This window comes from Homo sapiens, chromosome 2, assembly GCF_000001405.40.
Source record: "Homo sapiens chromosome 2, GRCh38.p14 Primary Assembly".
Taxonomy (NCBI): domain Eukaryota; kingdom Metazoa; phylum Chordata; class Mammalia; order Primates; family Hominidae; genus Homo; species Homo sapiens.
Window position 1 is genome coordinate 27,217,208 of NC_000002.12, and position 27,879 is coordinate 27,245,086.

At 51.3% G+C, this 27,879-nt stretch overlaps 1 protein-coding gene across 4 annotated transcripts, besides 3 other annotated features; it reads left to right on the plus strand.

Moving 5' to 3' along the window:
• Positions 34–263: a silencer, noted in NCBI's record as "silent region_11291". NCBI's record gives its function as "represses an Ori minimal core promoter by ATAC-STARR-seq in GM12878 lymphoblastoid cells {active_cell/tissue: GM12878}" and the evidence as "EXISTENCE:reporter gene assay evidence [ECO:0000049][PMID:35858748]".
• CAD (carbamoyl-phosphate synthetase 2, aspartate transcarbamylase, and dihydroorotase) lies at positions 162–26,736 on the plus strand. Of its 4 annotated transcripts, XM_047445803.1 has the most exons (45): positions 162–426; positions 670–809; positions 4,011–4,140; positions 4,987–5,129; positions 5,312–5,453; positions 5,659–5,830; positions 6,356–6,541; positions 6,710–6,822; positions 7,138–7,283; positions 7,538–7,669; positions 7,803–8,036; positions 8,498–8,719; positions 8,924–9,112; positions 9,318–9,442; positions 9,625–9,755; positions 14,261–14,373; positions 14,773–15,017; positions 15,241–15,487; positions 15,835–15,933; positions 16,105–16,329; positions 16,419–16,601; positions 16,801–17,019; positions 17,311–17,478; positions 18,038–18,220; positions 18,329–18,433; positions 19,077–19,316; positions 19,542–19,623; positions 20,172–20,338; positions 20,511–20,675; positions 20,849–20,980; positions 21,224–21,425; positions 21,835–22,025; positions 22,124–22,264; positions 22,490–22,591; positions 23,058–23,154; positions 23,360–23,410; positions 23,704–23,748; positions 23,851–24,020; positions 24,115–24,189; positions 24,704–24,916; positions 25,095–25,220; positions 25,413–25,568; positions 25,665–25,766; positions 25,991–26,085; positions 26,209–26,736. In XM_047445803.1, the coding sequence occupies exons 1-45, from the start codon at positions 345–347 to the stop codon at positions 26,309–26,311; spliced, it is 6,729 nt and encodes a 2,242-aa protein (XP_047301759.1). In that variant the 5' UTR covers positions 162–344; the 3' UTR covers positions 26,312–26,736. The 4 variants fall into 4 exon arrangements, with proteins under 4 accessions (XP_047301759.1, NP_004332.2, XP_006712164.1 ...); NM_004341.5 differs by lacking the exon at positions 23,360–23,410; XM_006712101.4 differs by lacking the exon at positions 8,924–9,112.
• Positions 14,275–15,474: an enhancer, noted in NCBI's record as "BRD4-independent group 4 enhancer chr2:27454350-27455549 (GRCh37/hg19 assembly coordinates)". NCBI's record gives its function as "activates an origin of replication core promoter dependent on BRD2, P300/CBP, MED14 and CDK7 cofactors, and independent of BRD4, by STARR-seq in HCT116 cells {active_cell/tissue: HCT116}" and the evidence as "EXISTENCE:reporter gene assay evidence [ECO:0000049][PMID:35650434]".
• Positions 25,430–26,629: an enhancer, noted in NCBI's record as "CDK7 strongly-dependent group 2 enhancer chr2:27465505-27466704 (GRCh37/hg19 assembly coordinates)". NCBI's record gives its function as "activates an origin of replication core promoter dependent on BRD2, BRD4, P300/CBP, MED14 and CDK7 cofactors, with strong dependence on CDK7, by STARR-seq in HCT116 cells {active_cell/tissue: HCT116}" and the evidence as "EXISTENCE:reporter gene assay evidence [ECO:0000049][PMID:35650434]".

The following is a 27,879-nucleotide window of genomic DNA, read 5'->3' on the forward strand; positions in this document are numbered from 1 at the left end:
TGCTTGGGGTGGGAGGGACTGCTTTAGGGCAGCCGGTTTTTTCAGGTTTCCCCCGGTTTTGCAGTGCGGAGACCACGGGGGCCCACTCCCCGTGGCTCCGCGGACCCCGCCCCTTACGTGCCCGGCCCCGCCCCTCACGCCGCCTGTGTCCGCGCCGCCGCAGTCTCTGCTGCTGCCGCCAAGCGCGCCCGAGGCTCCTACGCTGCCGCGCCCGGCTTCTCTCCAGCGCCCCGCGCCGTTAGCCACGTGGACCGACTCCGGCGCGCCGTCCTCACGTGGTTCCAGTGGAGTTTGCAGTCCTTCCCGCTTCTCCGTACTCGCCCCCGCCTCTGAGCTCCCTTCCCATGGCGGCCCTAGTGTTGGAGGACGGGTCGGTCCTGCGGGGCCAGCCCTTTGGGGCCGCCGTGTCGACTGCCGGGGAAGTGGGTAAGCAAGCCCGGTTAGGCTGCAGACCTTATCCCACTCTGTGATGCGCCTCTCCTCCCAACCTTCCCCGTCCAGACCCCGCCATTTTCCCGCCAGCGTACCCCCTTCCCCCATTCGGTGCCCATGGGCCCCAGCGCCATAAACCCCTCGCGACCAAGGCAGCCTCCACTGGGGCGTGCTCATCGCGCGGGGAGTGTTCCGAAGGGTGCCCTACCGGAGCCCAGCCCTGCTTCTTTCTTGCAGTGTTTCAAACCGGCATGGTCGGCTACCCCGAGGCCCTCACTGATCCCTCCTACAAGGCACAGATCTTAGTGCTCACCTATCCTCTGATCGGCAACTATGGCATCCCCCCAGATGAAATGGATGAGTTCGGTCTCTGCAAGGTAGCCACACCCAGTGCTTTCTCTACATTCCTTTTCAAGTCAGTAATTGTTAACTATTAGTGAAGTAGGAGACGTTGACACCCTGCTGGGCATCCTGCAGAAAACATACCCACTGAAGTAGTAAAGTCAAGGACTAAGATCACTAGTAACTGTAGTTAGGGGTTGTTAAGTGCCTTGGGAGGCACAGAGTGTTGGAGGCCTCAGGAAAAAGCTACCGCCTTTGTTAAGGGCATCAAGGCTCCAGGTATAGCTGAAAGCATTCTGTATGTAGTGAAGGCATGGATCAAGGAAAAGTAAAAGAGGTGTAAGGGAACAGCCTTGTCCAACTTGTTAGGCATGCAGAAGTCAGGAGAAAAAAGCCTGCAGATAAGTTAAATCCGGTGGGCATGGAGGGACCTGAAGCCAAAGCAGAGTCAGCTTAGTTTGGTAAAGGATCCATTGAAGGTTTTTTTTTAGCAGCAGAGTCAGATGGGAGCAGTGCTTTTTAGGACTACATAAATTAGTGGAAAGAGACTGGAAACTAGGGTCACATACTTCTCTGTGACAGTGAGTGCCAGTTTACCTACAAAACCAGTGACATTATCTTCTAGACCTACTGACATGGCCTCGTCTGATTCTCTGCTTTTCAGTTGTGTTCTTACCTCTAGGTGAGAAAACTGAGTTTCTTCCTACAGTGAGGTTTCCCCTATTCCTTCACCTCTGAAATTTGGAAACTAAGTTGCCCTCTGACAGTTCAAGCATTAAAAAAAACCCAACATATAGTAATTAAGGTAATAGAGGAAGTCAATCTGGCCTAGAGTAGTATCTCTCAAAATTTGTTTGGCCTCACTGCAGGTGTAAGCCTTTAATTCTTAATTTGCCTTCCCAGCCACCCTGACGCTGGGGAGAGTGAGCTCCGGATAAAGGACGTACATGTTGTTCTTCCTGGAAAAGAATTTCTAGGTTCATCACAAACCTACAAATACACTGCATTCTAGTTGATAGTGAATTCTTGTGAATTTGGTTAACCTTTGTCAGTCATCACCTTTGTCAACTCTAGACACACTGACTAAATTGAGTTTATAAAACTACAAAATTGAGGCCTGATTAGGATCAGGGTGGGAAAGGCCTCTTGGAGCCACTCGCACATATAAATGGATTACTCCACCTGGCCAGGGAGGGTTCTGCCAAACTATCCTTCAGATCCCTGGACAGTCTCAGAATGCAGGTTCCTTAAACTGTTCATCACCCAGCTGAATGCAGTTTAAATATGCTGATCCCTCCCACATAAACTTTCTGTTTCTATGTAGCTATTAAACGCTTATCTATTGAGTAACAAGTTTATGGTTTTTGTTTTTTTTTTGGGGACAAGGTCTCACTTTGTCACCCAGGCTGGAGTGCAGTGGCATAATCATGGCTCACTTGCAGCCTCTGCCACCTGAGCTCAAGTAGTCCTCCCACCTCAACCCCCCAAGTAGCTGGGACTACAGGCACCTGCCGCCATGCCTGGCTACTTTTTTTGTATTTTTTGTAGAGACCGGGTATTGTCACATTGCCCAGGCTTGTATGTTATCTTTTTTTATTTAATTTTTTTTTATTTTTATTTTGCTTTGAGGTAGAGTTTCTTTCTTGTTGCTCAGGTTGGAGTGCAATGGGCAACCTTGGCTCACTGCAACCTCCGCCTCCCGGGTTCAAGCTATTCTCCCACCTCAGCCTCCCGAGTAGCTGGGATTACAGGCATGGGCTACCATTCCCAGCTAATTTTGTATTTTTAGTAGAGACAGGGTTTCTCCATGTTGGTCAGGCTGGTTTTGAACTCCCGATCACAGGTGATCTGCCCACCTCGGCCTCCCAAAGCGCTGGGATTACAGGCGTGAGCCACCGCGCCTGGCCTTTTCTTTTTTAAATAATCCCAAATGAAGTTTGGGAGGCATGCTTAGTATTGTGCCCTGAACCTTTGTTTTTTATTTGGTAATGGGGTATTTTGTACCTCCCTATCTTACTCAGTTTTTAATCACACTCTATAATTAATATTTATATGGGTGTTACCTTGTTTTCTAGCTCCCTAAGTCAGAAATAAACATCATGAAGACAGGAACCTCATCTTTTTTTGCTCATTGCTCTTTTCTCAGCATCTTTTGCAATGCCTGCACCTCAATAAATGTCTGACTGACACCATGTGCCTTGCTCTTGAGTTCTCTGTTTCGTGACAAAGACACAAATACATATTCATCATATGACGTAAATAGCAAGAGAGGAAATAAAGTATTAAAACAGCTCTAAGATGGAGGCACAAGCTGTATTGGGTGAGTGGGAGGGGCTTCACAGAGAAAGGATTTGTGATTTCAGTTTTAGATAAAGGAAGAAAGAGGCGGGGCGCGGTAGCTCATGACTTGTAATCCCAGCACTTTGGAAGGCTGAGGTGGGGGGATCGCTTGAGCCCAGGAAGTTTGAGAGCAGCCTGGCAACATGGTGAGACGCTGTCACTACAAAAAATTCAAAAAATTAGCCAGGTGTGATGATCCACACCTGTGGTCCCAACTACTCAGGAGTCTGAGGTGGGAGAATCACTTGAGCCCAGGAGATTGAGGCTGTAGTGAACCGTGTATTTGTGCCACTGTACTCTGCACTCCAGCCTGGATAACAGCAAGACCCTGTCTCAAAAAAAAAAAAAAGGAATGGCTAGGTGCGATGGCTCACTCCTGTAATCCCAGCACTTTGGGAGGCTGAGGTGGGCAGATCACAAGGTCAGGAGATCTGAGACCATCCTGGCTAACATGGTGAAACCCCGTCTCTACTAAAAATACAAAAAATTAGCCGGGTGTGGTGGCGGGCGCCTGTAGTCCCAGCTACTCGGGAGGCTAAAGCAAGAGAATTGCTTGAATCCGGGAGGCAGAGGTTGCAGTGAGCTTAGATGTCGCCACTGCATTGCAGCCTGGGTGACAGAGTGAGACTCTGTCTCAAAAAAAATAAATAATAAATAAATAAAAAGGAAAATGTCATTTTCAGTGATCATCGGGGCACCCTGGGCCTGTGGGTTGTGTTTCGTATAGGAGAGAGCGTTGTTGGTAAATGGAAATACCTATGCAAAAGCACCAAAAGTTTGGTATATTGAAGGCCATTCAATGTGGCTGAATATAGGGTCTGTGGCCACACAATCGGGAAAATGCTGCAAAGAAATAACTTGGCCTGAGGCTTCTCACAATCTCTTTCCATCTACAGTGGTTTGAATCCTCGGGCATCCACGTAGCAGCACTGGTAGTGGGAGAGTGCTGTCCTACTCCCAGCCACTGGAGTGCCACCCGCACCCTGCATGAGTGGCTGCAGCAGCATGGCATCCCTGGCTTGCAAGGTATGGTGGCAAGCAGGGGCATATTTGGGCAGAGCACAGCATGCCTGGATGGAAAGAATCAAGGTTTCTGTAATCTGCTGGGACCTGACTCTAAGATTGTGATAGTTGGAAGGTTTAGATTGGAGTTGGGCTGGGAGAAAGAATTGAACTATCACTCAGAAAGAAAATTTCCAACACAGGAAGGAACTCCCACCTTCCATAATCATCAGCTTAGGGCTAATCTTATTTCATCACCACCACTGGATTATTTTGATGCAAATCTCAGACATCATATCATTTCATCTACAAATAGTTCAATATCTATGCAAAAGGAATCTTTAAAAAACATGATCATAATAACGTCATACACTAAAAAAATTAATAATTCCCTAATACAAGTGTCCAGGCAATGTTTAAAATTTCCCAATTTTTTTTTTTTTTTTTTTTTTTTTTTCTGTTCATTTGAATCTTGCTCTAAACAGGGTTCACACATTGCATTTGGTTGATAAGTCTCTTAATCTGTGGACCTTGTAACCTATTTGAAAACAGGTCATTTTTCCTGTATCTAGTATCCCATAGTCTGCACTTACTTGGTTACACTCCTGTAGTGTTACTTAGCGTATTCTTTTTTTCCCTTTATATTATTTTCTATAAATGGATAGATTTAGAGTTGTTCAATTCAGATGTGATATTTTTGGCAGGAATACTTCATGGTAGTATACTTCTGTCACAATGGCCCAGGATTTTGATGCACATAGAACAGCTGTGTGTGACTGGGGCTCTGGAATGGAAGTGCTTCTGGAAGTCTAACCTCACAGATGACTGAGTTGTAGGAATGTGATCCCTAAGACTGTGCTATTTTGACAGGAGTAGACACTCGGGAGCTGACCAAGAAGTTGCGGGAACAGGGGTCTCTGCTGGGGAAGCTGGTCCAGAATGGAACAGAACCTTCATCCCTGCCATTCTTGGACCCCAATGCCCGCCCCCTGGTACCAGAGGTCTCCATTAAGGTACAGAGGTAGAGTGGGAGAGTGTTGCAAGCTCTAGCACAGTAGTTATATTCTGCCCACAATTGGGGGGTGAACACAGGAGAGAATCAAAGGAGGCTTTGAAGGTAGGAGTTGGTGCAGGCATATCTTATACCCACTGAGCACAGCTGCCAACTGTTGCCCTTTATTCGTCTATTTCTCAGACTCCACGGGTATTCAATACAGGGGGTGCCCCTCGGATCCTTGCTTTGGACTGTGGCCTCAAGTATAATCAGATCCGATGCCTCTGCCAGCGTGGGGCTGAGGTCACTGTGGTACCCTGGGACCATGCACTAGACAGCCAAGGTGAGTAGCTGGGGCCTGTTCAGGGCCTCAGACAAGCAGCTTGGGTGGAAGATCTATCCCTTGGTCCAATTGCTAAAAGTCAGTAGGAGTTGCAGTGAAGAAGATAGACATTGGGACTTAACACTCTCATGGGCTGGGGGGGCTGCAGGTGTGTCTCCTGTAATTGAAATACTGATTTTGATGTCATCTTTTCTGCCCACTCCAGAGTATGAGGGTCTCTTCTTAAGTAATGGGCCTGGTGACCCTGCCTCCTATCCCAGTGTCGTATCCACACTGAGCCGTGTTTTATCTGAGCCTAATCCCCGACCTGTCTTTGGGATCTGCCTGGGACACCAGCTATTGGCCTTAGCCATTGGGGCCAAGACTTACAAGATGAGGTGGGACTTGTGGGGAGCAGAAGGGGCCCATACTTGTGGCATGAGGGGTGGGGTGTCTCAGGAATGAGAAGAGAGTTGGTGTTTATTCGTGTTGAAATAGGAGCGGGGGGGTTGCAGGTGAGGTGGCTCCCACCTGTAATCCCAGCACTTTGGGAGGCCAAGGTGGGCGGATCACTGGAGGTCAGGAGTTCGAGACCAGCCTGGCCAACATGGTGAAACTCTGTCTCTACTAAAAATACAAAAGTTGGCCAGCCATGGTGGCGTGCGCCTGTAATCCCAGCTACTCCAGAGGCTGAGGCAGGAGAATCGCTTGAACCTGGGAGGTGGAGGTTGCAGTGAGCGGAGATCGTGCCATTGCCCTCCAGCCCGGGAAACAGAGGGAGACTCCGTCTCAAAAAAAAAAAAAAAACAAAAAGGAAACAGGAGTGAGGCTACTGAGAACAGGAGATCGGTGAGAGCTGGGGTAGGTTCAGTAGTGAAGAGAGGGTGAGCAGGGCCTGTGACTCGGCATGCTTCTACCTCCAGATATGGGAACCGAGGCCATAACCAGCCCTGCTTGTTGGTGGGCTCTGGGCGCTGCTTTCTGACATCCCAGAACCATGGGTTTGCTGTGGAGACAGACTCACTGCCAGCAGACTGGGCTCCTCTCTTCACCAACGCCAATGATGGTTCCAATGAAGGCATTGTGCACAACAGCTTGCCTTTCTTCAGGTGAGCCTGGTTGACTGGGTCTGTGAAAATTTGAAGCCCTGTGGGCCTTGATGATGGAAAAGTAAAGCACGGCAGTGGATCCGAGTCCCCTGTCCCACTACCCACCTCGAGGCTGCCAGTGTCATGCCAGGGACCATGATGGTTTTCATGATGCAATCTCTTCAATAGTGTCCAGTTTCACCCAGAGCACCAAGCTGGCCCTTCAGATATGGAACTGCTTTTCGATATCTTTCTGGAAACTGTGAAAGAGGCCACAGCTGGGAACCCTGGGGGCCAGACAGGTAAGATCCTGAGTAGAACTGGGTTGTGGACCTAAGAACAGGGTTGGCTCCAGGATGGGCATAAGGTGGACATGCCCTGGGCAACTCCTAGATGTCTAGGAGGTTAAGGGTATTGGGGATGGGTGGCAACCAACCCAAGATACCGTTTAAGCTTCTGTTGAAAGGAACTCCAGGGTCCTGGGTTCTGGTCCTCCCTCTGCTCCTCCTGAGGTGCATAATTTGCTCTGGACTCTTCTGAAAGCGAGGGAGCTAATCCAGTTGACCTCTTGGGTCCAGCTCAGCTCTAACATTCTACGACCTTCTTTGCTTCCACAGTTAGAGAGCGGCTGACTGAGCGCCTCTGTCCCCCTGGGATTCCCACTCCCGGCTCTGGACTTCCACCACCACGAAAGGTTCTGATCCTGGGCTCAGGGGGCCTCTCCATTGGCCAAGCTGGAGAATTTGACTACTCGGGCTCTCAGGTGAGGCATGTTCCTCCCCACCCTTCTGGGCGTGTGACCCTCAAGAATGGAAAGGGTCTTAAGGAGAAGGGCTAAGGTTGCAGGGAGGAAATGAACCAGATTTGGGGAATGTAGAGAAAGATGTAGTAAGAAATAGAAGTCAATTATTAGGGGCCAAGAGTACAGGGAGGGAAAGAAGAGGAGAATGCTACTCTAAGGCTGTTTGCAATTTTGCTTCTTCAGCAGAGGCTGAGATGCCATTCTTGTCCTTTTAGGCAATTAAGGCCCTGAAGGAGGAAAACATCCAGACGTTGCTGATCAACCCCAATATTGCCACAGTGCAGACCTCCCAGGGGCTGGCCGACAAGGTCTATTTTCTTCCCATAACACCTCATTATGTAACCCAGGTATGACTGGGGCAAGGCTGGAATGAAAAGAGGACTGGGCAGGGGGGCCCAGTGGTCACTGTGGGTTATTAAACTTTGATTGCCTCTCTACCCACAAGGTTCTGATGCCTGTAACTCCCCTCTCCATCCTCAGGTGATACGTAATGAACGCCCCGATGGTGTGTTACTGACTTTTGGGGGCCAGACTGCTCTGAACTGTGGTGTGGAGCTGACCAAGGCCGGGGTGCTGGCTCGGTATGGGGTCCGGGTCCTGGGCACACCAGTGGAGACCATTGAGCTGACCGAGGATCGACGGGCCTTTGCTGCCAGAATGGCAGAGATCGGAGAGCATGTGGCCCCGAGCGAGGCAGCAAATTCTCTTGAACAGGTTGGAGGGGTGTTTGGGTAAAGGAAGAATGGTGGTGTTTTTTTTGGTAGTGTTATTTTCTTTTTTTTTTTTTTTTTTTTGAGACGGAGTTTCGCTCTTGTTGCGCAGGCTGGAGTACAGTGGCGTGATCTCGGCTCATCATAACCTCCACCTCCCAGATTCAAGCGACTCTCCTGCCTCAGCTTCCTGAGTAGCTGGGATTACTGGCATGCGCCACCATGCCCAGCTAATTTTGTATTTTTAGTAGAGACGGGGTTTCTCCATGTTGGTCAGGCTGATCTCGAACTCCTGACCTCAGGTGATCCACCCCCCCGACCCTCGGCCTCCCAAATTGCTGGGGTTACAGGCGTGAGCCACTATGCCCAGCCATGTTATTTTCTTTATATCTTTTTTTATGTGGGACAGGCACACCTTGGACAGTAGGAAATAACCTGTTTGTTCATCTCTTCCACTCATTGCAGGCCCAGGCAGCCGCTGAACGGCTGGGGTACCCTGTGCTAGTGCGTGCAGCCTTTGCCCTGGGTGGCCTGGGCTCTGGCTTTGCCTCTAACAGGGAGGAGCTCTCTGCTCTCGTGGCCCCAGCTTTTGCCCATACCAGCCAAGTGCTAGTAGACAAGTCTCTGAAGGGATGGAAGGAGATTGAGTACGAGGTGGTGAGAGACGCCTATGGCAACTGTGTCACGGTGAGTGAATGGGGGAAGGGTGGGCGTCGTGTCAGGCAGGATGAGCTTTTGGAAGAGCAGAGGCCCAGGCCAAGGTCTTTGAGAGTTGTATGTCCCTCAGACCCAGGTTAGGTGCAGCCCCAGAGGTAACAGGACCCTGGGGTGCAGCCTTCTGCCTCTCCTGACTCTGCTTGGCAGTGACCTCCATGGCACCCCCCTTCACAGGTGTGTAACATGGAGAACTTGGACCCACTGGGCATCCACACTGGTGAGTCCATAGTGGTGGCCCCTAGCCAGACACTGAATGACAGGGAGTATCAGCTCCTGAGGCAGACAGCTATCAAGGTGACCCAGCACCTGGGAATTGTTGGGGAGTGCAATGTGCAGTATGCCTTGAACCCTGAGTCTGAGCAGGTAAGCTCTAGGCCCTGGAACTGATAGTCTAGTTGTTACCCCCTCTTCTTGTATAATTTTTGGCCCTTGAGGTTGAGGTCTTTTGGGCTTACAGTCCCTGGAGTACAAGCTGGAATCTTCTTTACTAGGTTACTTTTCTCTCCTTTCTGAGACCTCTCCTAGACAGGGTCTTCTAGGCCAGTGACTTTATTCTCCTTCTTTGCAGTATTACATCATTGAAGTGAATGCCAGGCTCTCTCGCAGCTCTGCCCTGGCCAGTAAGGCCACAGGTTATCCACTGGCTTATGTGGCAGCCAAGCTAGCATTGGGCATCCCTTTGCCTGAGCTCAGGTACGAGGATGAGGGAGATATCACAGTGGGGAAGTGGGTCGGGGGCTGAGGAAAATATTGATGGGACAGGGAATATGAAAAGGACATTGGCCTGGATTTGTGGGAATGGAAAGAGCTATCCGGAAGCTCACCCTTTATGCTTCCTTCACTGTCCTTCTGGCATCCCACCTGCTGGACCCCAGGAACTCTGTGACAGGGGGTACAGCAGCCTTTGAACCCAGCGTGGATTATTGTGTGGTGAAGATTCCTCGATGGGACCTTAGCAAGTTCCTGCGAGTCAGCACAAAGATTGGGAGCTGCATGAAGAGCGTTGGTGAGACTCATGCCCTGGGCACCCCCATGGGGCCCCACCATGACCAAGAATCTTAAATGTCAAGAGTTCCCTGGCATGGCCTTTTACGTCCTATGGGAGCAGGTGCTTGAGACATTTCAAACTAAGATTATAGTCCTTGTCAGGAGTTGGGGAGGCATCTGGAAATCTGTGTTGGAATACAGAATCTCTGGGATAGGTGCAAGCCATCAGACTATCTCATCTCATTTTTGCAGTATCTCCTCCTCTGGCACTTTGTGCTTTGGTCACTAAATGACCTTTTTTTTTAGTATGATGTTTACATCAGAGCAGGGCATCATAAACCTTTTTGGTAACAAGGAAATTTATTAGTGAATGATGAATGGCCGTAACGTTACCCAGCAGTGGCAGAGCATGTTAGAATTGAGTTAGTATGTTTCTTTGTGGTATCCCTTTAGTTGCCGAAGACCGTCCTCTAACACATTTCAACCAAAACAAAAATATACGTGTACCAGACACAGCGCCACCAGCCTGATGGATAAGAGCATTTTGTGGTGCTCCAGATTTCCATTTAGAGCAGTAGTGGCCTTTAAACAAGTAAGTCTAAGCTCAGATATTATTTCAGAATTTTTAGAAATTCTGCAAGACTGCCAATTTTTTCCTTCTGGAGATGAATCTCTGTTATATGAAAATTAGAATAAACATGGGAATGAAGCCATAATTAAATTGTGGCAAAAAGAAGTGGATTGAAAATAGGCCAATGAAAGATTGGTTCCTAGATGAGACATTTAATTGTTTTACATCTGTTCAAGTATTCTTGGAATGTGGTCTTCTTTGGTAACTTTTTGTAACTTTTATTATACAAGTAAGAAACATGAATCATGGAAAACGAGGAAAGATAGTTTAACCAAAGAACAGTAGTCACCTGTAATCTTGCCTTACAGAGATTGATTAATTCGACCGTGTATCTGCGACTGCATAATTCAGCCGTGTATCTACGACTGCATACATTTCTAGGCATATGTGTATGCATGTATTAGGCTTCTCCTTTTTTAACAAATCTCAAAATAAAAAGTCTTACAACCACAGTTACAAAGAAATTGAACAAAATCAGTCACACTACTGTTAACATCGTAGTGTTTTTAAAACTTTTTTAAAGAAATGTAAATGTTAGGATTGTAAATAGAAAAATACACTTGGTAAGAAATACTTAAGCCCCTAGAGTAAATAGTCAGAGGAGATGAACAACACTTTACAGAAGAAGAAATCAATAAGCAAACCTAGAGAAAAGACGGTTCCTCTCATTAGTAAATAGAAATCTAGTTAAATGAGACTCTGTTTATGCCCACTTCTTAGAAGGTTGCTTAAACTTTGTATTATGAAGCACAGACTTCTATAAAGTTATTCGTACTCATCAAGGGCTATAAAATTTGTGTTACCTATTGCCTCTACATATCTGGAAATTTATCCTAAGGAGATTATCCAAAACAGAAAACATCATATCCAGTCCAGGCACGGTGGTTGTAATTAATCCCAGCACTTTGGAAAGCTCAGGTGGGAGGATCGCTTGAGCCCACGAGTTCAAGGTTGCAGTGAGCTGTGATTGTACCACTGCATTCCAGTCTGGGTGCCAGGCTAAGACCCTGTCTTTTTTGTTTGTTTGTTTGTTTGAGACGGATTTTCATTCTTGTTGCCCAGGCTGGAGTGCAATGGTGTGATCTCGGCTCACCACAATCTCTGCCTCCTGGGTTCAAGTGATTCTCCTGTCTCAGCCTCCAGAGTAACTGGGATTACAGGCATGTGCCATCACGCCTGGCTAATTTTGTATTTTAATAGAGACAGGGTTTCTCCCTGTTGGTCAGGCTGGTCTTGAACGCCCGTGCTCAGGTGATCCACCCACCTTTGGCCTCCCAAAGTGCTGGGATTACAGGCCACTGTGCCTGGCCGAGACCCTGTCTCTTTTTTCTTTTCTTTTTTTTTTTTCTTTTTTTTTTTTTTTGAGGCAGAGTCTTCCTCTGTCGCCAGGCTGGAGTGCAGTGGTGCTATCTCGGCTCACTGCAACCTCTGCCTCCCAGGTTCAAGCGATTCACCTGCCTCAGCCTCCTGAGTAGCTGGGACTACAGGCGCGCACAACCACGCCCAGCTAATTTTTGTATTTTTAGTAGAGACGGGGGTTTCATCATACTGCTTAGGATGGTCTCGATCTCTTAACCTCGTGATCCGCCTGCCTCGGCCTCCCAAAGTGCTGGGATTACAGGCATGAGTCACCATGCCCGGCCGACCCTGTCTCGTTAAAAAAGAAAGAAAACATCACAGCCTAACTTATAATTATGAAAACTTTTTTTTTTAATACGGAGTTTTATTCTGTCACCCAGGGTGGAGTGCAATGGTGTGACTTAGCTCACTGCAGCTTGGATCTTCTAGGCTTAAGTAATCTCCCACCCCATCCTTCTGAGGAGTGAGACTACAGGTGTACACCACCACACCTTGCTAATTTTTTTTTTTAATTATTATTTGTAGAGAGGGAGGTCTCACTATGTTGTGCCGGCTGGTCTCAATCTGCCTTAGGTGATCCTTCTGCCTCAGCCTTCCAAAGTGTTGGATTACAGGTGAGAGCCACCAGGACTGCCTAATTGTAAACACTTAAAAGCGAAATGGGCCGGGCGCGGTGGCTCATGCCTGTAATCCCAGCACATTGGGAGGGTGAGGTGGGCATATCATGAGGTCAGGAGTTTGAGACTAGCCTGGCCAATATGGTGAAACCCCATCTCTAGAAAATATACAAAAATTAGCTAGGCATGGTGGCACGCACCTGTAGTCCCAGCTACTCAGGAGGCTGAGGCAGGAGAATCGCTTGACCTCAGGAAGCAGAGGTTGCAGTGAGCTGAGATTGCACCACTGACTCCAGCCTGGGCAACACAGTGAGACTACGTCTCAGAAAAAAAAAAAAAAAAAAAGCTAAATGTCCTTCAGTTAGTAGTTAAATTATGGCAGATCATACAAGAATTAAGTTAGTTGGTTGGGCGCAGTGGCACACGCCTGTAATCCCAGCACTTTGGGAGGCCGAGGCAGGTGGATCACCTGAGGTTGGGAGTTCGAGACCAGCCTGGCCAACATGGTGAAACCCCGTCTCTACTAAAAATACAAAAATTACCCAGGCATGGTGGCAGGTGCCTGTAATCCCAGCTACTTGGGAGGCTGAGGCAGGAGAATCACTTGAACCCAGGAGGCACAGGTTACACTGAGCTGAGATCATGCCATTGCAGTCCAGCGTGGGTGATGAGAGAAACTCCGTCTCAAGAAAGAATTAAGTTGGTGTTGATGAGGCCATGTGGCAATGTGGGAAAATGTATGATGAGGAAAAAACACAGGATGGAAATTATATGTATGCTGTGATGATATGTAAAACATACCTATGAAGGGCCCGGCACGGTGGCTCACGCCTGTAACCCCAGCACTTTGGGAGGCCGAGGCGGGTGGATCACGGGGTCAGGAGTTTGAGACCAGCTTGGCCAACATGGTGAAATCCCGTCTCTAATTAGCCAGACATGGTGACACGCACCTGTAATCACAGCTACTCAGGAGGCTGAGGCAGGAGAATCTCTTGAACCCAGGAAGCAGAGGTTGCAGTGAGTCGAGACCGTGCCATTGCATTCCAGCCTGGGCAACAAGAGCGAAAGTCCATCTAAAAAAAAAAAACCTATGAACCTATGAAGAAAAGTCCAGAAAGAGAAACTCTAAAATGATTGTTGTAAATGTGATTTGCTCTGCATGGATGAGTAGTAAGGATCATCTTCCTATTATCTACACTTTTTTAAAAAGTTTTAAAGAATTCCAGTTGGTGTTATGATTATGTGAATAAATCAAACCCAATAACTGGACAGCCATCAGTGGTTTGGGCCACTGTGATAAACTTCCAGTATCCAGTGTATGGGGATATATTCCAGTATCCCCATGCCCGTTTTAGGCATATTGATTCCATATTCATCAATAAGCACAAAGCCTGAGCTTATCCATGAAAATAGCAGGGAAAAGAGCTATAAGTTAAGATTTCTTTTTGTTTGTTTGTTTGTTTTGTTTTGTTTGAGACGGAGTCTCGCTTTGTTCCCCGGGCTGGAGTGCAATGGTGTGATCGCTGCTCACTGCAAGCTCCACCTCCCGGGTTCACGCCATTTTCCTGCCTCAGCCTCTGGAGTAGCTGGGGCTACAGGCGCCCGCCACCACTCCCGGCTAATTTTTTTGTATTTTTAGTAGAGACGGGGTTTCACCATGTTAGCCAGGATGGTCTCGATCTCCTGACCTCGTGATCCTTCCGCCTCAGCCTCCCAAAGTGCTGGGATTACAGGCGTGAGCCACTGCGCCCGGCCATTAAGATTTCTTAGTTGTGAAACACCATGAATCCCACCATCATGTGACTTGCCTTGAGAATCTCCCAGAGTCTTGACTATAAACCATAAGCATTATGGGCAGTGCCTTCTTCCCACCCCTTCCACCTCCACACCTTCATTCCTTCCATTCTGTTCTTCCAGGTGAAGTCATGGGCATTGGGCGTTCATTTGAGGAGGCCTTCCAGAAGGCCCTGCGCATGGTGGATGAGAACTGTGTGGGCTTTGATCACACAGTGAAACCAGTCAGCGATATGGTAAGTAGCTCCCCTCCCCTGGCAATACCCCTAAAATAGACCCTGCTTCTCATCGCCCCCAGACCATGAGCTTGTTACCAGTAACACTAGCAGCAGTCATCATTGGACATTTGCTTTGTTTCCACTTTGCTGAGAATTTTGAGATGTCTCATTAGCACGCAAGGGTGTATTACTAGACTTGTTTTTACAGATGAGGAAACTGAGACATAGGTTATAGAAATTACTCAAAGCCACATAGCCAATGAGAGGTAGACCCAGGATTGGTATCCAGGTTTTTGCAGTTACACAGCCTGTGCTCTGGTGTACAGTTTCCCCTTCCTGAGACAAGAGCAGCTACTTACGCTCAGGCTTTTAGATGGGCTGGCAGTAGCTTCCGTCTGTCTACCCCCTTTCTATCAGGAGTTGGAGACTCCAACAGATAAGCGGATTTTTGTGGTGGCAGCTGCTTTGTGGGCTGGTTATTCAGTGGACCGCCTGTATGAGCTCACACGCATCGACCGCTGGTTCCTGCACCGAATGAAGCGTATCATCGCACATGCCCAGCTGCTAGAACAACACCGTGGACAGCCTTTGCCGCCAGACCTGCTGCAACAGGCCAAGTGTCTTGGCTTCTCAGACAAACAGATTGCCCTTGCAGTTCTGAGGTCAGAGGTGGCAATGAGAGCTTCCGGCTGGGAAATGTGGGGCAGAACCTTTGTATCAGTGAGGGACCCTTGGGAGGGAGGAAGGAGAGTGTGGGAGAGCTTTAGAGGCTTCTGACCTTGGTTCCAAGGATATTTCCTCTCATCTGTGCCCTGGGGTCTCAACCCTCTATCAGTCTGTACCCTACTCTCTGGGCCTGTGTTTCAGACCCTTTTTCTATTTTAGCACAGAGCTGGCTGTTCGCAAGCTGCGTCAGGAACTGGGGATCTGTCCAGCAGTGAAACAGATTGACACAGTTGCAGCTGAGTGGCCAGCCCAGACAAATTACCTATACCTAACGTATTGGGGCACCACCCATGACCTCACCTTTCGAACACCTCATGTCCTAGTCCTTGGCTCTGGCGTCTACCGTATTGGCTCTAGCGTTGAATTTGACTGGTGTGCTGTAGGCTGCATCCAGCAGCTCCGAAAGGTCAGAGAGTTCATTTTCTTTCCACTTTCCTTGCTATTCTGTTCATCTCTAGCAATTGCTTGGCACTAATCCTGGCATTTCCTATTAATTGCCGTCCCTTACTTTGGTCATAGAGCTTTGGGGTGGGGGTCCTTTTAGGCCATCTCTCATGCCCCACACGGTATATGAATCTCTTCCCCAACACTTTGTACCTCCTTCCCTCCCAAGGCAGGGGTCCTGTACAGCTCTTTCAGAGGAAGCTGTGCTGGCAGTCTCTGAAGTAGGGGCTTTGGCTTAGTTTCTCCACGATTTTCTCCACGATTTTCCTCCCACCTGACTGCTAAGTACCCTTCCCCTCCCTCTTGCAGATGGGATATAAGACCATCATGGTGAACTATAACCCAGAGACAGTCAGCACCGACTATGACATGTGTGATCGACTCTACTTTGATGAGATCTCTTTTGAGGTGAGGGAGATGGAGGCTTCCTGGTAGCTTGAGTGGCCAGGGTCGAGTAGAACAGCTGGCTGACCTAAGATTCTTTGAAACTTGGTGGCGGCTGAGGGAAGCAGTGAGCAGGAAGGCTCAGATTCCTGCCCTCTTTTGCTGCCACCACTTGTTTCTCCCCCTGCAACGTAGGTGGTGATGGACATCTATGAGCTCGAGAACCCTGAAGGTGTGATCCTATCCATGGGTGGACAGCTGCCCAACAACATGGCCATGGCGTTGCATCGGCAGCAGTGCCGGGTGCTGGGCACCTCCCCTGAAGCCATTGACTCGGCTGAGAACCGTTTCAAGTTTTCCCGGCTCCTTGACACCATTGGTATCAGCCAGCCTCAGTGGAGGGAGCTCAGTGACCTCGAGGTGGGCTGGGACCTGGTGGGTTACCCGGAGGCTGGATGATGCTTGGGGGAAAGTGTGAACAACTCAGCTAAGCTCCCTGCCTCCTGTAGTCTGCTCGCCAATTCTGCCAGACCGTGGGGTACCCCTGTGTGGTGCGCCCCTCCTATGTGCTGAGCGGTGCTGCTATGAATGTGGCCTACACGGATGGAGACCTGGAGCGCTTCCTGAGCAGCGCAGCAGCCGTCTCCAAAGAGCATCCCGTGGTCATCTCCAAGTTCATCCAGGAGGCTAAGGTGGGAGGCTGCAGACAGTGAAGTCTCTGAGGGCATGCTGCCAGCCCTGGAGGAGACTTCCTTCTCTGGTCCAGCAGAATCATAGGCACCAGGGCTGGGAACAGTGGGCTATGTGGGGCTCGTTAAAGGAAGAGACAATCCTAGAGTAAGTGAGAGAAGAAAGTGGCCCTATGTCCCACTGTCTGTGTCCCCCCGCTAGGAGATTGACGTGGATGCCGTGGCCTCTGATGGTGTGGTGGCAGCCATCGCCATCTCTGAGCATGTGGAGAATGCAGGTGTGCATTCAGGTGATGCGACGCTGGTGACCCCCCCACAAGATATCACTGCCAAAACCCTGGAGCGGATCAAAGCCATTGTGCATGCTGTGGGCCAGGAGCTACAGGTCACAGGACCCTTCAATCTGCAGCTCATTGCCAAGGTAATAAGGCTAAAGGAAAGAACTAAAGGGCCACAGCTCTTGCATGTTCTGTGCTGGCCACAGTGCCATGAAGCCCTGCACTGTCTCCTGCCTTCATCCAAGTAGGCAGGGAAGCTGGAGGGAAAGGGCTGTAGCTAGAGCTCATGGTGTTGGGGCTTATGACAGTCAGTGACCCTGAACCCTGCTCAGTCTGATCCCCCAGAGCTGAGGACGGAGAGGAAGAGTCTAGGCCTATAGATAGTGTCAGCAAGGCCAACCTGCAGAAGGCCTGACCAGTCTTCTCTGCCCCAGGATGACCAGCTGAAAGTTATTGAATGCAACGTACGTGTCTCTCGCTCCTTCCCCTTCGTTTCCAAGACACTGGGTGTGGACCTAGTAGCCTTGGCCACGCGGGTCATCATGGGGGAAGAAGTGGAACCTGTGGGGCTAATGACTGGTTCTGGAGTCGTGGGAGTAAAGGTAAGGAATATCGAAACCCTTGGGGTTAGCAGAAAAATAGCGGGAGAGAGTTCACTCACCACACAGAGTTGTCAGTATGTAAACCAGGCACTGACTGCAAGGCATTGCCGGATCGTGGGGGTAATGAGGTGGTCATTGTCCCTTAAGAGCTTACTTTATGGTAATGGGAGGGAAGAGAAGTTGGATCCCCAAAAAAGCTTTGGTATAGAACAGTCCGTGGTAAAACTACATATTCGACCTGTAAACAGAATGCTGCAGGAGTTCAAGAGACAGGAGGTGCTGCTTCCAAAAGGGGTGATCTGGGAAGGCTTGAGCGAAGGGGTGCTATTTGAATTGAGTTTTGAAGGATGGTTAAGGTTTTTTATTTGCAAGGGCACATCCTAAGCAGAAGCTGAGGGATGACCCCAAGTACGTTTGGAAAGCAGGAGGGCACACAGAGAGGGCAGGCTGACCCTGCCATTCAGATGGGATCAAGCACAGGGTACTGTGTCCGTCTCTGCTGGTGAGGGAGGAGGTCCTCTCACACCTTGGCCCTCTCTCTTCCCTCCCGCCCCTTTAGGTGCCTCAGTTCTCCTTCTCCCGCTTGGCGGGTGCTGACGTGGTGTTGGGTGTGGAAATGACCAGTACTGGGGAGGTGGCCGGCTTTGGGGAGAGCCGCTGTGAGGCATACCTCAAGGCCATGCTAAGCACTGGCTTTAAGATCCCCAAGAAGAATATCCTGCTGACCATTGGCAGCTATAAGGTATCAGAATCCAGGAGGGCTTCCCGAGGGCCGTGGCTCCCTGGGCCAGGGCTGACCTTGAAATGGAAGACAGGAAGAAAACAATTTCATCCTTCTGTTTGGTTTCAGAACAAAAGCGAGCTGCTCCCAACTGTGCGGCTACTGGAGAGCCTGGGCTACAGCCTCTATGCCAGTCTCGGCACAGCTGACTTCTACACTGAGCATGGCGTCAAGGTGCAGGAACTCTGGCAACCTACCCCACTGCTGCCCTTCCCCAAGGGGGTGAAAATACTGCACCAAAGAATTATCTGGGCTGGGCACGGTGGCATATACCTGTAGTCCCAGATACTCAGGAGGCTAAGGCAGGAGAATCTCTTGAGCCCAGGAGGTAGAGGCTGCAGTGAGCTGCGAGTGTGCAGTGAGTGCACCACTGCACTCCAGCTTGGGAAACAGTGAGATGCTGTCTCAAAAAAAAAAAAAACAAAGAATTATCTCCTATTCCCCTGCTTTTATTATTACCATTATACTAGTAAGCTATATTCCATGCAGAAAGCAGAATACACAGGAAGCAAAGAGAAAAGTCTCTTAAAATCTCTGTACCACTGTTCTGATATTTTTCCTTCCAGGATTTTCTCTGTGTACATGTGTGTGAGCTCATACTGCACCTAGTCCTTGGTAACCCATCTTACTTAGTGTAGATATCTTTCCTGCCAAGAAATACACTTTGCCAGTATCAAATAGAGGCAGCCCTCAGTGCCCACCCTATGGGTCCTCAGTCTCCTCATCATGGGCTCCTGGGCCAGCTCCTCTCCCTTAAGGCTAGCCTTCCTGACCGCTGCCAGACAGCTTGGCCCTGACCTTGACTCCGGGTTGGCAGGTAACAGCTGTGGACTGGCACTTTGAGGAGGCTGTGGATGGTGAGTGCCCACCACAGCGGAGCATCCTGGAGCAGCTAGCTGAGAAAAACTTTGAGCTGGTGATTAACCTGTCAATGCGTGGAGCTGGGGGCCGGCGTCTCTCTTCCTTTGTCACCAAGGGCTACCGCACCCGACGCTTGGCCGCTGACTTCTCCGTGCCCCTAATCATCGATATCAAGTGCACCAAACTCTTTGTGGAGGTAACTGAGACCCATGTGCTGGGAGGGAGACTGCCAGTGTTGATGGGAAGAAGAAAGAGGGAGGAGTGAGTATGGAACAGCCATGCTAGTAATAAAGCTTTGTGGCTACAGAGGGAGAGATGGTGGGTATAGAGTGTGCAGAGCCTGGTTTATGGGAAAACCACATCTCTCCCTACAACTCCCAGGATCACCCTTCCCTTAAAGCTGACTGCTTTCCACTTGCAGGCCCTAGGCCAGATCGGGCCAGCCCCTCCTTTGAAGGTGCATGTTGACTGTATGACCTCCCAAAAGCTTGTGCGACTGCCGGGTAAGTCTTTGGGGAGAACTTGGCTTCTGAACACTGGCAGCCCCTGGCATAGAGACCTGCAGTGTGGTGAAGGATGGCTGGGGGGCCCACTCTTTGTCCTGGACTGCACAGACTGTGAAGACCCCAGAATGTTTCTCACTCTTTCATTCCTTAATCCACAGTGTCCACAGTGGCCTTGTCTGAGGAATTTTTTTTTTTTTTTTTTTTTTGAGACAGAGTCTTACTCCATCGCCCAGGTTGGAGTGCAGTGGTGTGTGATATCGGCTCACTGCAACCTCCGCCTCCCAGGTTCAAGCGATTTTCCTGCCTCAGCCTCCCAAGTAGCTGGGATTACAGGTGTGTGCTACCACACCAGGCTAATTTTTGTGTTTTTAGTAGAGACGGGGTTTCACCATGTTGGTCAGGTTGGTCTCGAACTCCTGATCTCAGGTGATCTGCCCACCTCGGCCTCCCAAAGTGCTAGGATTACAGGCGTGAGCCACCATGTCCAGCTCACCCTTCCTATTTCTGAATCTTCCTGTAATCTTGCTGCTTCCATTTTCTCCCAGGATTGATTGATGTCCATGTGCACCTGCGGGAACCAGGTGGGACACATAAGGAGGACTTTGCTTCAGGCACAGCCGCTGCCCTGGCTGGGGGTATCACCATGGTGTGTGCCATGCCTAATACCCGGCCCCCCATCATTGACGCCCCTGCTCTGGCCCTGGCCCAGAAGGTGAGCCACTGCACTCTTCCTGGTATTGGAGACCCATATGCCCCTACCAGCCACCCTTGCTTCCCTGAGCCCTTTTCCTTCTGCCCCGCCCTATGGGCCCAGGCCACTGGTGCCAGGCTAGCCTGTGTGGGCATGGGTGCCAGTGAGCCTTACCTCTGTGTATCCTCTCCAGCTGGCAGAGGCTGGCGCCCGGTGCGACTTTGCGCTATTCCTTGGGGCCTCGTCTGAAAATGCAGGAACCTTGGGCACCGTGGCCGGGTCTGCAGCCGGGCTGAAGCTTTACCTCAATGAGACCTTCTCTGAGCTGCGGCTGGACAGCGTGGTCCAGTGGATGGAGGTAGGGAGTGTGCATGTGGCAGGAGGCCACCACCCAGTGTCTCCTGGCTTGTGGGCCCCTGCCTAAGTGGGCTGGTAGCAGTGAGGATTCAGGGGAGCTCCTGGGGACTCTGGGCTCTGATGAGCACAGTCAGAGATTCTGCACACTCCTTCATCAGTTCTTTCTGCTCCCAGCATTTCGAGACATGGCCCTCCCACCTCCCCATTGTGGCTCACGCAGAGCAGCAAACCGTGGCTGCTGTCCTCATGGTGGCTCAGCTCACTCAGCGCTCAGTGCACATATGTCACGTGGCACGGAAGGAGGAGGTAAGAGTACACCTGAGATCCTGCTGTCCCTGTTGCTTTCCCAGTAACACCAAAGGTCAGGGTAGTCCTTAGGGGCAGGAGACAGCAGGAGGAGAGTCTGGAGACAGCAGGAGGAGGGTCTCGAGCCAGCACCCTTGCAGGTCTACATCATCATTTTTTGAGCAGGGATGTTGGCCATTGGGACTTTGTGTAGGGCAAGGCATATGGGTGGTGCCTCTTCTGGATCTTCCCATTGTTCCCCAGATCCTGCTAATTAAAGCTGCAAAGGCACGGGGCTTGCCAGTGACCTGCGAGGTGGCTCCCCACCACCTGTTCCTAAGCCATGATGACCTGGAGCGCCTGGGGCCTGGGAAGGGGGAGGTCCGGCCTGAGCTTGGCTCCCGCCAGGATGTGGAAGCCCTGTGGGAGAACATGGCTGTCATCGACTGCTTTGCCTCAGACCATGGTGAGAGAATCCAGCATGTACCTCCTCTGCCCAGTGGGGCTTGTGGGACAGCCCTAGCAAGAAAATGGGAAGCAGGCCAGGCCTCAGGACTCTACTAGGACAGGGTCTTGATCCGTATGGGACCCTAGCCTCTAGGGTACCTGGTCTGTGATAGGTGCCTGATAAATACTTGTTGAAAGAATGAATGAGCCAGTGAGTAGAACTGCAAGTGAAAGAATACATGGGTAAAAGTGTGGGCTCCAGAAGATGGCAGCAGTCCTGTTGCCCTTGTTTCTAGTTCCCAGAAAAAATGAGCATTGGGAGTGGTAGTGAGCATAAGGAGGTTGTTGGAAGTGCAGTCCTGGGGTGTGAGTGACTTCCTAGACATGGAGGTGATTGGTCCTGAGGGTAATGGCTTTCTTTCTCCCAGCTCCCCATACCTTGGAGGAGAAGTGTGGGTCCAGGCCCCCACCTGGGTTCCCAGGGTTAGAGACCATGCTGCCACTACTCCTGACGGCTGTAAGCGAGGGCCGGCTCAGCCTGGACGACCTGCTGCAGCGATTGCACCACAATCCTCGGCGCATCTTTCACCTGCCCCCGCAGGAGGACACCTATGTGGAGGTGTGGGGATGAGGCCCAGAGCAGGAGGGGGGCTCTCCAGCCCTAGGATATGTTCTCTGGGGATCCTTTCCCTAGCATAACCCATGTCCTCTGGGCAGGTGGATCTGGAGCATGAGTGGACAATTCCCAGCCACATGCCCTTCTCCAAGGCCCACTGGACACCTTTTGAAGGGCAGAAAGTGAAGGGCACCGTCCGCCGTGTGGTCCTGCGAGGGGAGGTTGCCTATATCGATGGGCAGGTACGCAAGTAGCCCCTGCCTGATCTCAGTAGTGCCCTCTTCTGCACCACGTTCATTTCTTCCCTTCCCAGCACATCTACACTGTCCCACTATGTGCACCACTGCCCTGGACCAGGGGTTGGGGGCACAGCTCCCCCAAGGTGCTTTTTGTCCTTGCTGACATCTACCCCTTTAGGACCTGAGTTCTCTCTGCTCCCTCCTGAGTGCCCTGCCTTCTGCCTGCAGGTTCTGGTACCCCCGGGCTATGGACAGGATGTACGGAAGTGGCCACAGGGGGCTGTTCCTCAGCTCCCACCCTCAGCCCCTGCCACTAGTGAGATGACCACGGTATCCACACTACTGGGCTAGGGGGCTGGGAGGTGTTAGTCTCAGGGCAGGATGAACAGCTTGAACATTTTCATTGGTGGTTCAGGAACAATTGGGGTTTTCTTGAGGGACTGAATTTGAAGTGGGGTTGGGTCAATTATTTTTTTAAAATGCTGGGCCAGGCCAGATGTGGTGGCTCACACTTGTAATCCCAGCACTTTGGGAGGCCAAGGCAGGCGGATCATCTGAGGTCAGGAGTTTAAGACCAGCCTAGCCAACATGGTGAAACCCCATCTCTACTAAAAATAAAAAAATTAGCCAGGCGTGGTGGTGCACATCTGTAATCCCAGCTACTTGGGAGGCTGAGGCAGGAGAATTGCTTGAACCCAGAAGGTCACGCCACTGCACTCCAGCCTGAGCGACAGAACGAGACTCCGTCTCAAAAGAAAAAAAAAAAAACAACTCTGGGCCAACGTTATCCCTCCAGACACCTGAAAGACCCCGCCGTGGCATCCCAGGGCTTCCTGATGGCCGCTTCCATCTGCCGCCCCGAATCCATCGAGCCTCCGACCCAGGTTTGCCAGGTAAGAGTGGGGTTCCTGTGACTCAGAGACTGTGTAGGGACAGGATCCACTTCTTCCCAGTGCCTCGCCTTTCTCTACTTACATGTCCTCCTCTCCATCCCTTTATCCTCGTCTGATCTGCCGTGCCATCCTTTGCCTAAACAAGTCTCCCCGGTGTGAGTAGACATCTCACAGCTTCTCACATGCCCTTTTTTGTTGTGGGCAGCTGTGTTCCTCCGCCCAGGAGCTGGGATCCCACGGGGCAGCAGAGCGTGGGGTAAATCCAGGTTGTTGGTTGGTGTGAGTCTGGCCGTTCCTCTTGCCTAGGATGCCTTTGCCAACTGGGAGAGCCCCGGGAGGGCACCACTGCTCCCATACAACACAGCCCCATGGGAAGCCACCTGTCTGTCCCCAGAGCTGCTGCAGTCCCCTGCCCTCCCCTAACCTGCTATATTACTGTGTTGTGAATTGGTTTAACATATACACTGTGATTCAGAGTTCCTGGGAATATGGGGTTTCTTTCCAAACCTCAGCCATAAATGTATATCTGTCCTCTTGTCCTGTTTGCAGCTGAGGAGCCAAAGGAGAAGTCCTCTCGGAAGGTAGCCGAGCCAGGTGAGACTCCACCCTGACACACACTCACCTCGGGGACCTCTGATCTGGCCTTGGTAGGAGGAACCCTCTGACCAGCCTTTTCTGCCCCATCCCTCACTGCAGAGCTGATGGGAACCCCTGATGGCACCTGCTACCCTCCACCACCAGTACCGAGACAGGCATCTCCCCAGAACCTGGGGACCCCTGGCTTGCTGCACCCCCAGACCTCACCCCTGCTGCACTCATTAGTGGGCCAACATATCCTGTCCGTCCAGCAGTTCACCAAGGATCAGGTGCCTGGGGCAGGGAGGATGGGACCACCCAGAGCTTTGAGGATTTGGAAAGCTGGGGCTAGGACCTTTCTAGCTAACTTGGGCTCTTTCTTAGATGTCTCACCTGTTCAATGTGGCACACACACTGCGTATGATGGTGCAGAAGGAGCGGAGCCTCGACATCCTGAAGGTCAGGATCAGGGCCGGGGGTAGGGTCCAGGCCATCGCCTGCCCTTGGGCCGCATCAGCGCAGGGCCGCGCAGTGGTCAGAGTGGGTCTTCCTCCCCCTGCCATCCCGTCCCCTTATGCTAGTCCATCCCTCTGCTGCTGTAGATCTTCCCCCACGTTTTCCCTCCCCAAAGCAGGATTTAGCTGGCTGGGGAGGCCCTGAGCATGAGACCATCGCCCCACTAGTGGGGTCTTCTGGTCTGGGCTGCTGCAATCATGGGAGAGAGCTAGGGTGTGTCCTCCTTTCCCAGCTCGTTCAGACACTTAATGATGGGTGGTTTTCTGGAGGCAGAGCCTTTAGCTCAGAGTGACACCAGTGGTGGAAACGTCAAGGCTCTGACAGGTCACAGGGGAGGTTTGGGTGCAGAAGGGTCCTCACAGCACCCCTCAAGTGTCAGTTGGGGTGGTGGTGCCTAGCTGGGGTTTCCCCAGGGTGGACACGCATACGTACACCTTCCATCTTGCTCTTTCCCTAGGGGAAGGTCATGGCCTCCATGTTCTATGAAGTGAGCACACGGACCAGCAGCTCCTTTGCAGCAGCCATGGCCCGGCTGGGAGGTGCTGTGCTCAGCTTCTCGGAAGCCACATCGTCCGTCCAGAAGGGCGAATCCCTGGCTGACTCCGTGCAGACCATGAGCTGCTATGCCGACGTCGTCGTGCTCCGGCACCCCCAGCCTGGAGCAGTGGAGGTGAGGCCAGCCTGGGTACTGAGATGGGGTTAAGAAGGCTGGACCCAGGGGCATGAGAACCCTTCTGCCCACGTTTTCTGTGTTTTGGGCCAGATGAGTGAGGGGACCCCAGAAGAGGGGGACTGGCAGTTGGGGGGCCTCTGAGCTGCAAAAGACAGGATTTTCCCCTTTTTTCCAGCTGGCCGCCAAGCACTGCCGGAGGCCAGTGATCAATGCTGGGGATGGGGTCGGAGAGCACCCCACCCAGGCCCTGCTGGACATCTTCACCATCCGTGAGGAGCTGGGAACTGTCAATGGCATGACGGTGAGGGTGGTGGCAGGGTTTGGATCCCTGCCAGGGGACGATCTAGAGAGGGAGGCAGGAAGTGGTTACCCCGGTACAGGACAGCTGCATCAAGGAGGCCTTCATTCTGCTCCAGAGGCTTTTAAAAGCTTGGAAATGATGTCGGGGGGCACTCAGTCTGGGATCCCTGTGGTGACTGGATTCCTCTCCTAGATCACGATGGTGGGTGACCTGAAGCACGGACGCACAGTACATTCCCTGGCCTGCCTGCTCACCCAGTATCGTGTCAGCCTGCGCTACGTGGCACCTCCCAGCCTGCGCATGCCACCCACTGTGCGGGCCTTCGTGGCCTCCCGCGGCACCAAGCAGGTGAGACCCTCACAGCCCTGCCTGGAAGCCATGGAGATGTGGGTTGGGCAGTCAGAGCCCAGCGCTGCATCCACCATGGCTCTCCTCACCCTCCAGGAGGAATTCGAGAGCATTGAGGAGGCGCTGCCTGACACTGATGTGCTCTACATGACTCGAATCCAGAAGGAACGATTTGGCTCTACCCAGGAGTACGAAGCTGTGAGTGCTGGGCTTGAGGAAGAAGCCAGGGCTGCTGCCGTAGGGCATCAGATATGAGGACAGAAAGGCTGGGCTGAGGGCTGGGTCAGAGCTGTTAAACTTCACATCTGTCAATTGCCATAGCTGCATGTGGGTGTGGAGGGGACCCCAGTGGAGCCCAGACTTGTGTCCTCTGTAGCCACTCCTACCCCAAGGCACTAATGGGGACCCCATCTGCTTTGCAGTGCTTTGGTCAGTTCATCCTCACTCCCCACATCATGACCCGGGCCAAGAAGAAGATGGTGGTGATGCACCCGATGCCCCGTGTCAACGAGATAAGGTGGTGCAGCATCAGAGTCAGAGACTGCCTCGGGGCTGGTGGACGGGAGGAGACTTAGTCCTGGACAAGCCATCCATGGGCTGCACGATAACACTTCCTTTTTTTTTTTTTTTTTTTTTGCAGCGTGGAAGTGGACTCGGATCCCCGCGCAGCCTACTTCCGCCAGGCTGAGAACGGCATGTACATCCGCATGGCTCTGTTAGCCACCGTGCTGGGCCGTTTCTAGGGCCTGGCTTCCTCAGCCTCTTCTCTTTAGGCCCAGCTGCTGGGCAAGGAATTCCAGTGCCTCCTACGGGGGCAGCACACTTAGATATTCCTGGACATCCAGATAGCTCACATGTGCTGACCACACTTCAGGCTCTGGACTGGAGCTCTCTGGCATGGGGGTGGGGCCTCAGATGCTGGGGCCCAGTCTGCCCCATCTTCATTCCTGCACCTTAAACCTGTACAGTCATTTTTCTACTGACTTAATAAACAGCCGAGCTGTCCCTTGATGCTGAGTGTAGTAGAACAGAGCTTTCTTTTAGAAAATTGAGCAGATTCCCAAATTATAAGAGCAGCCTCACCAGGCAGGGCTCTGGCTAGGGCTGCGTGCCCACACTCGGCATTTTCACACTCGTGACTCTTTGGGACTCGGCAGGAGCGTGTTAACTCTGTGCTCTCTGAGTCCTGTGTCGTGCTGATGCCAGCGCTTACCTGGGGGCTCTGGCTGGTGTCCAGCCCTCCTTCCTCAATTCAGTTGACTCAAAGACCTGACAGAGAGTTCTGCCCTCTTCCTGACACTGGGAGAACACTCATCAGGGTAAAAGGAAGGCTGAGCACTGCGGCCTGTCTGAGGCCAGGCCTGGACTCTTCCTCACTCTTTCTGGTTAGTCCTCCTCCAGTGGCTAAGGCTGCCATTGCATTCTCAAAACCACCCTGGAGTTCTTCAGCCACTGTCACTATTAGGAGCCCCTCCTATTTCCCATCCCTGGGAGCCTCTGCCTGACATTGGACAGAGGGGCAGATGCCATGGAGGGCTGAGGAGCACTTTGGCTTGGAGACCCCAGGGCAGCAGCCTAAGGGCAGTAGCTTATGTGTCTGTGGGTGAGGGCTTCTGAGGAGCAGCTGTGCCCTCCAGTGAACTTGAGTAGCATTGGAGAAATCTCATTTCTTGTTCCAACAAAACTTAGCACTCTGTGGGTACAAAGCACCATGTGCAGTGGGAGTACAAGGAAGAACAAGGCAATTCTCACCCTCAGTTTTCAGCCTCGGGTCATAAGGCTTCCAGTGGCTTCTACAGATTAAACTGCTGCACACTGGCACATGATAGTGCAAACTGCTCTGACACCATTCAGGAATCACCTACTTCATCCAGAGAGTAACAGCGTATTCTAGAGATGAGAAAAGGAGAAGGACCTCGTTTTTTGAGAACTTAGTGTGAACAGGAACTTGATGCGTATTCTCATTTCTCACACCAGCCTTCCACCCATTTCACAGATGTGGACACTGGCTCAGAGAAGTGGTGGGGGCCGGTGGCTCACCCCTGTAATCTCAGCATTTTGGGAGGCTGAGGCAGGCGGATCACCTGAGGTCAGGAGTTTGAGACCAGCCTGGCCAACATGGTGAAACCCTGTCGACTAAAAATATAAAAATCAGCTGTGTTTGGTGGTGTGCGCCTGTAATCCCAGCTACTTGGGAGGCTGAGGCAGGAGAATCGCTTGAACCCAGGAGGTGGAGGTTGCAGTGAGGCAAGATGGCACCATTACACTCCAGCCTGGGCAACAGTGACACTCTTATCTCCAAAAAAAAAAA